Below are 16735 nucleotides of genomic sequence, written 5' to 3' on the forward strand. Positions count from 1 at the left end.
TCTAAAATGCCTGCTATTGCCTTGTAAAAGTTTATTGTCATGTCTTTTTGCCCCACTTCAAGTTTTTAATGTTACATAGTGATAGAACTGTTCATGACTTTACAAACTTTCACATGGAATTTTTAAAAATATTTTAAATTTGAGGACGGGAATTTATTTGTTTAATACTTTTTTTTTTTTTTTGCCTCATTTCACTATTATGCTTCTGTTAGCTCCTGAAGTACTGCTATAAAGATTCCAAATTAGGAACATGTTAGAAGTTCTTTGACACTCACAATATAGTTGGTATCAAAAAACATAAGGCAGAATATAAATCACTAGGAAGGGTAAAACTTGTGGAAAACTGTCAGTAATATAAAATTTTTCATTTTAATAGGAAACTTCATTATGCAGTTTAAAGACAAATTATACACATTTTACTTTTTGAGTTCAGCAAATGACTTAGAGAATCTTATTGAACTACTACATTTTTTCATAATATAAAATATTTCCAATTTTAAAGAAGTTGGGTCTTTCCTTCAAGAAACACAAATCTGGAAGATGGGAGTGAGTACACAGAGGATGTAATATAAATTAGGATGTTAAAATTGCAATAGAGGCGGTTGAAGCATCTATGGTCATTTTTGTTGGAGGAGATCAGAGAAAACCTCACTGAGCAGGTATATTTGAACTGGACTTCGTGTCATGGGTTAGGAATTTATAAAACAGAAGTGGTAATGATATGGTTTCGCTCTGTGCCTCCACCCAAATCTCATCTTGAATGGTAATTCCCACGTGTTGAGGGAGGGACCTGGTGGGAGGTGAGTGGATCATGGGGGCGGTTTCCCCCATGCTGTTCTCATGATAGTGAGGGAGTTCTCATGAGATCTGATTGTTTAAATGTGGCAGTTTCTGCTGCGCTCTGACTCTCTCCTGCCTCCTTGTGAAGAAGGTGCTTGCTTCTCCTTCCACCATGACTGTAAGTTTCCTGAAGCCTCCTCAGCCATGTGGAACTGTGAGAAAATTAAACTGTTTTCATTTATAAATGACCCATCTTGGGTAGTTCATTATAGCAGAGATAATGCTAGTGTATTCCTTTGCTAGAGCTGCCATTGGCTTAAACAACAGAAAGTTTGCATCTCACAGTTCTGGAGGCTAGAAATCTAAAATCAAGATGTTGGCAAGGTTGATTCCTTCTGAGGGGTGTGAGGGAAGGAACTGTTCTAAGCCTCCCTCCTTGGCTTGTAGATGAATTCTTTTTCCAATGTCTATTCACATTTTCTTCTCTTCGTGTTTGTTTGTGTATCCAAATTTCCTTTTTCTATAAGGACATCAGTCGTTTGGATGAGGGTTCACCCTAATGACCTAATTTTAATTTGATTACCTCTGTAAAGACCTTATCTCCAATAAGGTCATATTCTAAGGTACCGGATATTAGGAATTCAACATATAAATTTGAGAAGGAGGTAGTGATGGCACAACTTTACCCATAACAGTTACCATTAGCTGTTATGAGCAAATAAGGCAGAGGAGTATGTTTGAGAGTTCAATTTGGATCCTGTAAAATTTGAGCTAGCAGTGGATTCTTCAGGTGGTCTTAACTATGTTTTAACACCTTTATAGTACTTACTATCTTCTTACTACTTACTGCTTTCTTTTCTAACACCTTTTTAAAAAATGAACTCATATAATCTTCATAAAAAGCCTTTGAGTTGGTACTAACATCATCCTTGTTTTGTAGATAAGAAAACTGAGGTGTACAGGGTTTAAGTTGTCAAGATGACACAACTAGGAAGAGGCAGATCTGGGATTAATTCCAATAAGTTTGTCTCTAGAGTTTGTGCACTTAACCTTGGTTCCCAGACAGGTTGGTTATAAATGCATGACTGGAGACCAGGAAAAAGATCAGTGCTCGAGATGTAGTTTATTTGTTTTTCATCAGTTTAATATGCATTGATTTACTAGTTCACTGGTTTTCCAGTTCATCGTAGAAACTATGCTAGGCACTAGCGATACAATGACAACAAAGATCCCATTCCTTTTCTCAAGTTTATAGCCTGGTGTTGGAGAAGGAAAATGAAAGAGTATCAGCATTACAAGATGCATGTAATGGCAGAACACATACATCTACGCTGATCTCCAGAGCCAGCCATGTCTGGTTGTAGAGGTAAAGTATACAGTCATGAAATGTTGAGGAAGGAGCTTGTTATAGATGGTATCTTGAAGGAGGTGCTTCTTGAGTTGAGCGTTAAAGGACATGTGGATTGGATCAGGCAGAAAAGGGTGGGAAGAACATTCTAAGCAGCAGGAAGACCATAAATAAAACCACGGAGGCGGGGCATGCAGCAAGAAGGCAAAGGGCTAGGGAAGGAATGGGTAGAGGTGGGTGTGTTGACCACCCTGTTGAGACGTTTGGTGACGAAAGTAAGGGTAAATTATGGTTTAAAATTTTTAAAAATCCCATGAGACTGATATCAGAACCAGGGATATCTGTTTCATTTTTAGGATAAAACAAGCTGAGCCTTTTCACACAGGTGTTGGGAAAGCAACCAGTGATGAAGAGGAGATTGTAGAATGGAAAAAGAATATTGATGAGCTAAGACCCCAGAGTGTTAGAATTCATGAAGCTCTGCCAGGGGACTACTACTCATTACCAATAACCTACAATTGTTGCTTCAAAGGTAGACAGAATTAGTTCAGACTTCATTAAAGGAATTTTCATTGATAATCCTTGTCTTTCTGATAATCAATTTCAACTGATATGATCTTAACTTCTCACCTTGTCCCCCAACCTTGACCCTGAACTTTATACTTATAATAATGTATCCCTTCCATCTTGGTCCCCAAACACATAAAATCTATTATCTTTCCTTAAAGACTTTTCTGTCTTTCCCCACTCATCCACCATTTTTTTAAGTAACTTATCTTTTATAATCACTGATTTTATGTCTCCAAACTGTGGACCAGTTATTCCACAGGCATCTTAAGCAATGATGTAGGAATGGCAGACAGAATGTGAACTACCACCACCTCTATCCTAGCCTAAGCTCACCCTATTGTACTGTTCTCTGACCTGCAAGATGGTTCCTGTTTCTCAATTAGTTGTTCTCAGACACATCCCACCTCCTCGATGGGTTCTAGGATTGTTTCTTTTGAGTAGGGAATAGGCTGACCCTATTAGTGCTGGGAGCAGTTCATTCAAAAGACAGGCAGAACTAAATTTGAAAGAGTACACTGAAATTCTGAAGACACAAAGAGAAATTATTTCTGTGTGACCTAGAGTTTCACTCAGTCTAGTGGAAGAGGCAGCATATAATTAAATATTACTATGTGAAAGAAAATTCTATAATAATGATGGATCAATGATGTTCTGGAATACCGTAGGAGAACTGACTCATGCTACAGAGAGCTTAGCCAGAGTCAGAACAAATTTCACAGATAAGTTGTGTCACCAGACTCTTGAAAAATAAATAAGAATTAATCAGGTAAACAGTGGTGGGCAAACAATTCAGAATGTGTCTGTGTGTGCTTGTGTGTGTGTGTGTGTGTGTGTGTGTGTGTATGATATATGAACAGAATTAAAAAATCAAATTCTACTGAGGCTTTTAAAATTACAAAACAAGAGTCTATTTATTTCTACCTCCAGTTATTCTTTTCAGAAGTATTTATTTTTTATTTTAAAATTTAATTTGTATTTACTTTTAGCATATCCTGTGTATTTGCATTGTTCAAAATTTAAAAGGTTCAACAAGGTAATATCCTGCCACTGTTCCTCAAACACCTGAGTTCCTTTTCATGAGGCAAATAGTGTTTCTTATGTGGCATTCCAAGTATATACAGACACACACACACACACACACATTTTTATTATTTTTCTTACATAAATAGTTATGTACTATGTTTAAATTCTGAGCTTGGAATTTTAAACTTAGTAACTTCTAGATCATTCTATTGAGACATACGATGTGTTCCTAATAATATCTAATGGTTATATAATATTCCCTTGGTAAATGTATTAGTCCATTCTCATGCTGCTGATAAGGCCATACCTGAGACTGGGTAATTTATAAAGAAAAAGAGGTTTAATGGACTCACAGTTCCACAGGACTGGGGAGGCCTCAGAATCATGGTGGAAGGTGAAAGGTATGTCTTACATGGTGGCAGGCAAGAGAGAATGAGAGCCAATCCAAAGGGGAAACCCCTTATAAAACCAACAGATCTTATAAGACTTATTCACTACCAAGAGAACAGTATGAGGGAAACTGCTCCCATGATTCAATTACCTCCCCCAGGTCCCTCCTACAACACATGGGAACTACAGGAGCTACAGTTTAAGATGAGATTTGGGTGGGGACAAAGCCAACCATATCAGTAGATTAAATGACTCTTAGCTCTTTAACTTTTTTGTTTTAATTTTTACTTACTCTAGTAAATATTACTGGTTGATTTATTAGTTTGTCATCTCTTACCTACCTTTTCTTATATAATAAGTGATGATTTACTTCATGTCCTTCACCTACACCTGCACATCCTCTCAATATATTACTAGTTATAGCACAATTTTAAATAACTTTATATAACACAGTTACACTTCTATTTCCATACCAACTACTGTTGACAGTATAGTAATTGTAAAGACAATATACTAGTTGTAAAAGTTCGTTCACTATTTTTCCACTCTTCTACCTCTCAGCTTCCATGTCCCACAGATTTACTTTTATATTGAGTGTGTTGGAAGCACGTATTTTCTATTCTGTTACTAGAAATAAATTATTCATGCTTGACTAAAAGTTGGCTTTATAAGATGAAAATCTGTAATTTGCTTATGTTTTATCACTATAAATATTGTTCACTGTACAACAAAGTATTAAGATATGATTATATTTAGTTTTTTATCACTCAGCTTCAGGTTTCTTGTTTGAATTATTACTTTTCTTACTTTTTTCTTCATCTTTGGGTATGAAAATTCTAAATTGCTGTTTTCAATAACAAATCTCCAAAATCCCCATTTCCTGACTGCACCCTTTCCTCCCAGAGACCCCCTTTCCTGCTCTGTTTCTGGTGCATCCTTAAAATCAGATAAATTCTAGTGGGTCAGATCCACAAATTCCTGGTTCCTGTGTCTTAACAATTTCTTAGTTTCCGGCCTTGCTGGGAAATATCTTGAAGTAACTTCTGAAGGAAGAGGGTTTTTTTTTTTTCTTACAGAGAAAACATCTGTGTTAGATAAGCTGTGTAGAGGCAAGAGTTATAGTGCTGTTGGCCACAAGTTCAATGATAATGAATCAACAATGAATATTAAATAAAGTGCCTTTAAATAGAAATGCATAAAACCAGAGGCTGGCAGGGACCAAACTCTGTATTTCCCCTAGGAGCAGTGATTCAATATTCACAAATGCAGTGTTCATAGGAATTTTATAGAACCTAACTACTGTGAATGACAAGCATCCACAATCATTGTTATTATATTCACTTATGAAAATGTATTCATTCTAACTTCATCCTTGATGAATAATGTGGCTAATTGTAAATTTCTAAGTTAAAAAATTATTTACCTCAGAACATCAATAGCATTAATTTATTACATAATGGTAATTTGATCATTTAGATTGAGTAGATAGAAGATGGATATGGTTATTTTACTGGAGGTAGTGCTAGCTTTTGCATGTGTATTTATGTTGCCTTGCTCTTGGATAATAATGGCGACATTAGTTGCCCCAATTCACCTAGAAAATTCACCTATTTATTTAGAAGAGAATCCTATGCTTCTTACTTTTTTTTTCAAGGGATAAATATCAGCTTTCAGGAACATTTTGCATGTGACAGCATGTGAGAATCAACATACATTTACGTACAATCAGTCTGCTTTATTAACTGATTTTGTTTTTTGCAAATTCACCTATTCATTAAGCTTTATTTGTAATTCCAAAATCAATACTCAGTGCACTTTCATGATCATATATTTGCATAGCTCAAAAACTTGAGTTGTTAGTAATTAAGGTCAAATAAAGCTGCTCTCTGCATTCTTGTTTTAGCTCCTCTATGACAAGCAAGTGTTCTTTTCTCTATCTATTTATTTAGTGCCTTTTTCAATTTTTTGTGCTTTCATCAGTGATTTCCCTGTTTAAAATATCTCCCAAACATAGTGCTAAAGTGCTGGTCTAGTGTCCCTAAGCACAAGAAAGCTGTGATGTGCATCACACAGAAAATACTTGTGTTAGATAAGCTATGTATAGGCAAGAGTTATAGTGCTGTTGGCCACGAGTTCAATGTTAAAGAATCAGCAATGCATATTAAATAAAGTGCTTTTAAATATAAATACAAAAAAGGCAGAGGCTTACAAAGAACCAAACCATTCCCCTAGAAGCAATGATTCAGTATTCATAAACACAGCATTCATAGGATTTTATAGAACCTCGCTACTGTGAATGACAAGAATCCTCTATGTTCCCATATTTTGAGCTCTCCATCTCACACCTACCTTTTATTTGGCCTTTTCAACTATCAAGACTTCTATGACTCTGCAGGTAGAGGTCTTGATGCTTAATTGCTGCCCTTATGACAGTCTGTAGTCTACGGCTTCTGCCACCCTGCTTCACCAGATATCATTGCTACCTCTGATCAAGCGTCACTGCTTCATTTTTATTTTTCAGTAATTTAGGCAAAACACTTTTCTGATGGCCTCTGTTCCTTTTCTCATGGTTGTTGGCTCATATACGTATTCAATTCTTCATATTTTCATGAGACTCTGGGAGTCATCTCCTTTAACTTTCTTGAGTTGAAAGGTCCAGAATATTCTTTCAGATTTTTAGAGATTAAAGCTCAACAATGATAAGGGACGTTTAAGACCAGTTTTTATAGATTTTATGAAACAATATTAAATCATGGCATTTCAGATTTGAAAAATATAATATGTAATATTTTGTTGAATTCCAAATATATAGTTGAATAAATTAAAGGCCTCTCTAGATCTAACTCACATTCTTCTCTAACTTCCTCCAGCTATGTTCTGCACCTCTGCAGATTGTAGAGGACACCCAGAGTTTGAAACTGGTCAAATAGGTTGTTAGCAGGTCAAAGGGGTGCAGAATTTTTGCATCTGAAAAGAATTTATTGAAAACGGCTTACCATGGATTATATGATAGAAAGGCAAATGAAGCTGGAAAGAAACTGATGGATTGAGAAATTAGGAAAGACAGAGAAACTAAAGGTTATGATGAGGTCAGAGACACAACCAAGTTCAGCAAGTGCCTTAAACAGAGAGAAGTTGAGGGGAGAAATTCTGGTAAAAGGGGAATAGCAGAACTTTCAACCCTACTGTTTTCTATACTTTATAAGTTAGCATGCAAAGTTATTGAAATATTCAAGAGAAATATTAACTTTAAAGTCAGAAGAATGAGTTTTATCAAAGAAATTGCTCACTTAGCATTGTCATGTAATTGCTAAGGGGAAAAATAAGCATATCAATTCTGTTTGCATCTTTTTCTTTTTTTTCTGTCCCTGGAGAAATTATGTAGCATTGAGTTAATTATGCTCCCTTTGAAGTCTTAGAAATTTAATACATTAAATGTCTACACTTAGTGCTCCACCTCTCATTCAAGAGTATCAAAGCTTTAAGAAAAATACTGCAGTTATGTGCAGCTGAGTATATAAACCTGCTGTGATATTGGCAGAAAATTGTTACACAATATATCTGTAAGTGTCCTTGAAATGAATATAGTGAAACAGCAGTGCTCACTTGGTTTTATTTAAATATAGATTGGAATGATATTTTGAAAAAAATGTTTTTATATAGGAATAATGTTGCATTTGTTGCTGTGTACATTATAGTCTTTCCAGAAACAATACAAAAAAATTCTATATAAATTAGACATTTTGGCCATGGTCTTTAGTGTTTGGGTTTGAGAAGATACGCCAATTCTTTGAAAGGAGGAAGTTTTACTATTTATACAGCAATAGATATTGTCTCCAATTTACATTTTTTCTTCAAATTTTCAGAAAGGAACCCTACTGTTCCATGACATCCTTTTATTTCACAGTAAGAAAAGGTTATTATTATCTTGTATTCCTTAAACATACTTTATGAAATAGTTTTCATTGTATTGTACTATACCCTAGGTTCATTGAAAAAAAGAACTTTGAGGCTGTCAAACAACAAAAAGGCAAAGTTACATATTTCAAATATGTATGCAGCTTCCCAAAAATAAGCCTTTGGAAAGATTTAGGAAACAAGGGAAGGTAGCTTATCTCAGTAGATACAGAATGACTCCCACTCATCAAAAGGGTGCCCTTTTAAGAAGTGTCTGTTCATAGCCTTTACCCACTTTTTGATGGGGTTGTTTTTTTCTTGTAAATTTGGTCAAGTTCCTTGTAGATTCTGGGTATTAGAACTTTGTCAGATGGACAGATCGCAAAAATGTTCTCCCATTCTGTAGCTCATCATCACTGGTCGTAAGAGAAATGCAAATTGAAACCACAGTGTGATACCATCTCATGCCAGTTAGAATGGCGATCATTAAAAGGCAGGAAACAACAGATGCTGGAGAGGATGTGGAGAAATAGGAACACTTTTACACTGTTTGTGGGAGTGTAAATTAGTTCAACCATTGTGGAAGACAGTGTGGTGATTCCTCAAGGATCTAGAACCAGAAATACCATTTGACCCAGCAATCCCATTATTGAGTGTATACCCAAAGGATTATAAATCATCCTACTATAATGACACATGCACACGGATGTTTCTTGCAGCACTATTCACAATAGCAAAGACTTAGAACCAACCCACATGCCCATCAATGATAGACTGGATAAAGAAAGTGTGGCACATATACACCATGGAATACTATGCAGCCATAAAAAAGAATGAATTCATGCCCTTTGCAGCGAGATGGATGAAACCAGAAACCATCATTCTCAGCAAACTAACACAGGAACAGAAAACCAAATACCCCATGTTCTCACTCATAAGTGGGAGTTGAATAATGAGCACACATGGGCACAGGGAGGGGAGCATCACACACTTGGGCCTGTCAGGGAGTGAGGAGCAAGGGGAGGGAGAGCATTAGGACAAATACCTAATGCATGCAGAGCTTAAAACATAGATGATGGGGACTGGGCGCGGTGGCTCAGGCCTGTAATCCCAGCACTTTGGGAGGCTGAGGCGGGTGGATCATGAGGTCAGTAGATCGAGACCATCCTGGCTAACATGGTGAAACCCCATCTCTACTAAAAACACAAAAAATTAGCCGGGCATGGTGGCGGGCACCTGTAGTCCCAGCTACTCAGGAGGCTGAGGCAAGAGAATGGTGTGAACCCGGGAGGTGGAGCTTGTAGTGAGCCGAGATTGCGCCACTGCACTCCAGCCTGGGCGACAGTGCGAGACTCTGTCTCAAAAAATATAAATAAAATAAATTAAAATAAATTTAAAAACCTAGATGATGGGTTGATAAGTGCAGCAAACCACCATGGCACATATATACCTCTGTAACAAACCTGCACGTTCTGCACATGTATCCCAGAACTTAAAGTATAATAATAATAAAAAGGGTGCCCTGAGTACTCAAATTGCTGTGATAGTTATTTAAATGACACATTTTTTTCTAAAATAAATTATTTGGAGACATTATACAATGCACAATTTTAAAGATGAAGCAATTATAATATAGTGCATATAAGTTTACAACTCAACAAATTTCCGTGTGACCATCATCCAGATCAAGAAACAGAACATAACTAGCATGCCCAGATTTCTCATTCATGCACGCTCCAGTTAAGATCTCCCCAAAGGTATCCTGACTTTTAACACTATTCAACTAGTTCTGATTAATTTTAAACTGTATATAAATAGAATCATACGGTGTGTACTGTTTTGTCTTTCTTTCGTTCAGCATTATATCTGTGAGATTCATCCATGTTGAAGTTTGTAGAAAAAATTCATTCATTTTGATTGCCTCAAAATATTTTGTTATATGAATAAGACAGAATTTATATACTTCTGTTGATGATTTTTTTACAGTTTTGCTCATTACAGATAGGGGTTCTATATACATCTTTTTGGATATGTCTGTAGTTTTGTTGAGTATATACTTAGGAATGAAATTGCTAGCTCAAGGAGTACGCATAAGGCATGTTACATATTAATGCTAGCTGATGCTGCCAGTTTCCCAAAGTGTTTATACCAATTTTACTATTTGAAGTAGTAACTGAAAGCATTCCAATTTTCCGTTTCTTCACCAACACTTGTTATTTTCTGTCGTCATCATTTTATTTTAACTGCTGGACATATATTAGATTCAGATTTTAATTTGCATTTTTCTGATGGATGATTTATTTTGTATATTTATTTGCTTCGAGGATATTTTTCTTTTATGGAGTGCCTGTTGAAGTTATAGTCCCCCCTTCTTTCCCCTCATGATTTGTAGAAGCCCTTTGAATATAATGGATAAAAGTCTCTTGTCAAGTGAATGTATTTTGAAAATCTTCTCTTCTGTCTGTCTTTTCACCCTGTAAATAGTGATGAACAGAAGTTCTTATTTGTAATGTAGTCCAAATTATTACATTTTTTGTAGTTAGTACTTTTTGTCTTTTTTAAAAGAATGCTTCTTACTCCAAAATCATGAAGATCTACATACAAGGTTTTTCTAGAAACTTGTTTTATCATTTACATTTAAATCTGAAGTTCATCTGAAATTAATTGTTTTGCATAATGTAAAGTGGAGGTAAAGATACATTTTATTTTCCATATGGTGAACACTTCATTTTAACACAAGATCAGTGTGTCTAAATGGAAAGAATAATAGAAGCTTCCAATACCCATTAATAAAGTGGGAGTTGATTAGTGTATTTGAAAGTATTATCTCTGTACTGCATCCTATTGCTATGACCTATATATTATTTTCTAATATGAAGCACATGACTTTAGAAGAAAAGGAAAGGTTATACTGGTGAATTAATTGAAATAAGAATCTTCCTGTGATCCCAGGATCACAAAAGTTCGTGATGCTGGATTCTATGGTAAAAGTTGTAACTCTTTCCATGGGCCCAATAGTTATGGGTCATCAAGTAGCAGATAGTGGCCAATCACTCAAAAACAAACTGCTCCATATAAATATAGTTTTTACAATTGCATGGAATTGTAAGAAAAAAAATAACTGGCTTAAAAAAAAACAAATCTCTAACAGGCACTGATTCATCCCTGATTTAGTTTATATTTCCTTGTATCGTATTTATCAATTATTATTAAACTGCTCTCAAATCTGAGTTTTAACTTTAGCTTTATAAGCTTGTATTGAAAGGCAGCTCTGTTACTAGTCAATCCACAGATGTGGGTTTTTTTTTTTTTTTTTTTTTTGATGAGAAAGTCTTAAATTTATTTTACTTTGCGTTTGACCTAAATTGTATATGATAGTTCTTGCTTCTGTTAATGAGGCCTGAGACAGCATCAAGTTTTTCTTTTCTGATTGGAGAGCTGTTTAACTTGCAGAAGGTTTCTCTGAACATGGAAACTAAGCAAAGAACGGGTTTCCAATGAGTCTAAACTTCCAAATAAAACAGACCCAAATTACCGCTCTTGTGACCACTGACTTGGGACACTGATATTGGTGGACAGTTTGCTACTAACTTCTCCTAACAGCCTATAGTCTATTTAATAATTTTTGACTGCAACATCTACTGCTGGTTTTTACTTTATACTAAGTTCTTAAATAAGTCAATCATTTTTATTCCATTCCATTTGAATTATTATCCAAGCAATAATTTGAATAATTGTGGAAAAACAAGAAAATATCTGAATATTTGTGACAATTGTACCATTATTTTAAATATAAAATCACAGTTGCTTCAACCTTCAAGACAAGAAAATTGAAATCCTTCTCTAATCCATTTTTCACTTATTCAATTATTCAAACAATATATTTAAAGCTATTCTATGCAAGTCAGTGTGGGAAGAGCTGTAAGAATACAATAATGAATGGTATATGATTCCATACCCCAAGGGATATAGACTCATAAGGAAAATGCTGTAAACACGAAGTGTGCAAAATAATAAAACCATAAGAACAGACACAGTTAAATTACTCCTCTCTACTCCTAAAGGGACTTGAGAATAAAGAAAACAAAGTTGCTACCTGAAACCTAATCAAATAAAGTCTATTGGCAATGTATGAGTTACACATCCCTAGGTTATTCATATCAAAACTTTATTGTTCTGCTGTAAGTGAGAATTCTTGACCATTTCAAAAATTCTTACCATAACCTGCTGTAGTCTTCTCAAAGCAAGTCTAGAATGTAAATGAATCCAAAAATAATTAAATTTTTATTGAGTTTTCCCTCCATGAAATTATACAGGTGATTCAAAAACAAACGGAGTAGTTAGACTGGACCTAATGATAAATTTGAGGTTGGGGGAGGGGGGAGGGATAGCATTGGGAGATATACCTAATGCTAGATGACACGTTAGTGGGTGCAGCGCACCAGCATGGCACATGTATACATATGTAACTAACCTGCACAATGTGCACATGTACCCTAAAACTTAAAGTATAATAAAAAAAAAAGAAAAAAAAAAAAGATAAATTTGAAAATGGGAATTTGGCAGTGTTTGTCTATTGCTGCTTAGAGAAGACACCAGTCATGGAAGGCAAGGACAGGCTAACATATGAAGGTATTCTCTGTGGTATGTCAGGCACAATTCATCAGATTTAATTAAAATGATTTTCAAAATTATGCACCTCTTTGAGCTCTGCTCCTACTCTATGACATAAGAAGCCAGGAGAATAGTGAGCTCATGCATTCTAAGCACTAGAGAGATGTATTTATTGCAAATAAATAAATTAGCAATTTATATGCTGATTTCTATTTAATTTGCTTAGTACATAAATGGCAAATACATGCTACAAGTGCTATTAATTCCATTTCCAGACCAAAACCATAGATTACCACTATCTGCCCTGCTGTACTGAGCAGCTATAGCAAATGGATCTTAGTTAGCACTGGAGTCCGAACCTATTTGCCAATCTGGGTTAGTATGAGTCAGTCTCCCAGAACTTAATCAATTCCTTAAATACTTACTGACAAAATCAATATTTTAGTTTTGTAGAGAACCAGATTTTACGGTAATGCCACCCCATGAAGCTTTGTTGAAAAATTAGATAGTCTCTCTAGATTACAATTCTATCCAGACTTTTTCTCACTATAATACAAATAGGAGGGAAAAAACTGTCTTGACAGAGCAAATTAAGGTCAATTTGCTTTTCCTAACAAAACCCATTGTTATTAGAATGAAAAAAATACCCTGTAGCATATAAGAAGGTTAAAAAATTAAACTTATATGTGTCTATCCAATAGTAAAATTTCATGAACATAGAGGTCCTTTAATGTTCTGGCTAATTAAATTTTTAGTGCCTTGTAGACTATACCAAAATTTCTTTTTGGTTTCTACTTGTAGAAAAGTGTTAGAAATACTTTAGTCTGGGTTTTTTTGTTTTGTTTTGTTTTTTGAGGTAAGAGCTAGAGTATAGCCAAGATACCTAAATCTTTCACATTGATATATCAGTATGTTGCTGGATATTCAGATTATCAATGCTTATTACATTAAAATTCACGTTAGACCTGGGTCCTGAAATCATATTTCACTTTTTTCATATGTCTTTTTTAGTAAGCTATCTGAGATCCTCCTTATAAAGTTAAATATAAATGTACCCATGTCTATGCAAAGTTTTGCATATTGGCATGAAAGAGTATATATATGAAAACATACATTTATACACAAATAAATGTAGAAGTTTTGAAAAAGCAAATTCATTAACTCTGATTCTCTGATATATATACATAATATTTATATATGTTATAAAATAATATCTGCTATTCAGTATTTTATTCTGTTAAAACTAAAAGCTATTAATTGATGGCTAGTTGAAACATAATAAGTTGTTACTTCCAATATTGCTTGATCAAACTCAAGTCAGATTATTAGCCCTCTCTAATCGGCCAAAAACTTCACTTTGAAAGATATCATGAGAAACTTGCAAAAGTAAATTGCCATTTAAAATTTATTGTGTAGAAATTACTTTTTTTTAACCGTGATTCTTGTTTTGTTCCTTAATAGCCTAAATATCCTGTAAAGAACACTGGTATTAAATGTAAGAAGTAGGTGAACACTTTAATTTTGAAAAATTATTGTAATGAATAAGCAAATCCTTATTAAAAAGGAAAAGTGAAAGATGAAGGGTGGGTTTAGAACTGACCAGAATTCTTAAGTTTAATATCCATAAATTCTTACATATAGGATTGATATCCAGCAGGTGTGCACCTATAAAGCTCTCTTCACTGCTTATGACAGGCATCCTTTCTCATGGAAGATGTCCTATTTGATTGCTGAGTGGCTGTTTTACAGAGTTTTAAAAATATTTTGAATAACATTCCCAATCACATGAGTCCTCTAGGAATGTAGAATTGTGAGACGTACATCTACTGATCCAAGTAGGTAACTTCTTCAATCCACATCTCTTCATATATCATTCTGTTTTTAGTCTTCTTAGTGAATAAAAATAATGTCAATTTTAAATGTTTAATACCTAATAAATATTTGCATTTTAAATTTCACTCACTATTATTTAATTAGCATTAGTATATTATAGTTAGACTACATGTTCTCTAATTTGGAAATGTTTCCAGTGATAATTTTTAATTTTTTTTCAAATTGCCAGTTTTAATGAGGGGAAAAACCTAACTTTCTCTTTATTTTGTTTATATATTCATAATAGTCTACAGAGTTCAAAAGAAGGCATAATTGGCATAATACTTTAGAGATAAACAAAAATGTGTTTACCTAAAACAAAGTTTCTTGGGCTTGGCACTATTGACAATTTGAACCAGATAATTTTTGTTGTGGGCAGATGTCCTGTGCATTATAACATGTTTAGCAGCATCTGCCTGTACCTAGTAGATGTCAATAATACCTACCCCAGCTGTGGTAGAAGATAAAATTATCCCTGGTTGACAGTCATTGATAACTATTTAATTCTTTTTTTTTTTTTTTTTTTTTTTTTTTTTTTGAGACGGAGTCTCGCTCTGTCACCCAGGCTGGAGTGCAGTGGCGCGATCTCGGCTCACTGCAAGCTCCGCCTCCCAGGTTCACGCCATTCTCCTGCCTCAGCCTCCCGAGTAGCTGGGACTACAGGCGCCCGCTACCACGCCCGGCTAATTTTTTGTATTTTTAGTAGAGACGGGGTTTCACCGTGTTAGCCAGGATGGTCTCGATCTCCTGACCTCGTGATCCGCCCGCCTCGGCCTCCCAAAGTGCTGGGATTACAGGCGTGAGCCAGATAACTATTTAATTCTGAAACAGTAAATTTTTGTTCTCATGAAGTTTTTATTGCTGTCCTATGATAATTACTTTTCACTTTACCACTAATAATAGCTAGCTAGCATTTATTAGGTTCTTTCAGTTGTGTGACACTGCTAATCACTCTGTAAGTTAACACTTATAATCCTCAAAAAACCCAATGGCATAGATAGAACAGTATCTTAATTTCACAAATAAAAATTTTGTAAAATGATGTATAAGCATTTGTCTATCTTAATTAGGTAGATCGTTTGCATTTTATTTTTTGTTTGCTTAGTGATCACTTGCGAAGTTATTATACTATTTTTTAACATGTTCATCATGAAATGCATTTTTTTTGGAGTTACTTGGTTTCCAAGTGACATTTAACTCCCTAAAATAGCATTTAATCAGTAAGTTTGTGTTGTGGTCTTTGAACATGCCATCTGAGGGACAAGAGTGTGCTAGATTGCCTTTTGACTTACGATTTTTAGAACAAAATAAATGAAAAAGAAAAAGAAATGAACATATACATAAACTGAGAAGCATAACTAATTGACAGCAAGAAATGACTTGATTCTCAACACTGTAAAGTAGTTGCTAAAGGCAGTAGCTAATATTTATTGTGTTTTCCTTACGTGCCAGACACTGCTGTATGTGTATTTTACATATGTACACATGTATTTATCACACTAAACCTAGGGGATAGATGCAAGTTTAGCCTCATTTTACAGCTGAGGAGATTGATACACAGAGGTTGTAAAAGTAGTTTCAGGTCACACAGTGAGTAATAGCAAAACCAAGTTTAGATTACTAGTACGGAGTGTGCTAGGCTGGGCATGGTGGCTCATGCCTGTAATTCTAGTTCTTGGGAGGCTGAGGCAGGAGGATCAATTGAGGTTGGGAGTTTGAACTCAGCCTGGGCAATTGAAGCCAGCCTGGGCAACATAGGGAGACCCTATCTCTACAAAAAAATTAAAAGTTATAATAGCTGGGTATGGTGGTACATGCCTGTAGTCCTAGCTACTCTGGAGGCTGATGTGGGAGGATAGTTTGATCCCCAGGGTTCAAGGTTATAGTGAGCTATGATTGAGCCACTGCACTCCAGCTTGGGCAGCAGAGTAAGACCTTGTCCCCCGCAACAAAAAAAAAAAAAAAAAAAAAAAAAAAAAAAACAACAGTACGTGCTATATTGGTTTTACAGCTCTACAGTGAAAGTGAAAAAGTCAACTTAACCTTTTATTCATGACATAAGAGGTAGTCAGTATGCCTAACTCCCACTAAATTATTTGTAAGGCGAGCTTGTACTGTGAACTTTATCAGTAAAATCTATTACATGGTATCATAATATAATGGAGGAATTGGTCAGGATTATGGATTTTTGTCATATTTCGCCCTTAAGCATAGAGAAGAACAGAACTTTTGGATTAAATG

General features: G+C 35.0%; 1 protein-coding gene across 12 annotated transcripts in view; it reads left to right on the forward strand.

Annotated features, from left to right (window-relative positions):
* GRID2 (glutamate ionotropic receptor delta type subunit 2) overlaps window positions 1-16735 on the forward strand; it is a 1506491-nt gene that overhangs the window by 807618 nt on the left and 682138 nt on the right. The window lies entirely within an intron of this gene.

Source organism: Homo sapiens, chromosome 4 (assembly GCF_000001405.40).
Source record: "Homo sapiens chromosome 4, GRCh38.p14 Primary Assembly".
NCBI lineage: Eukaryota > Metazoa > Chordata > Mammalia > Primates > Hominidae > Homo > Homo sapiens.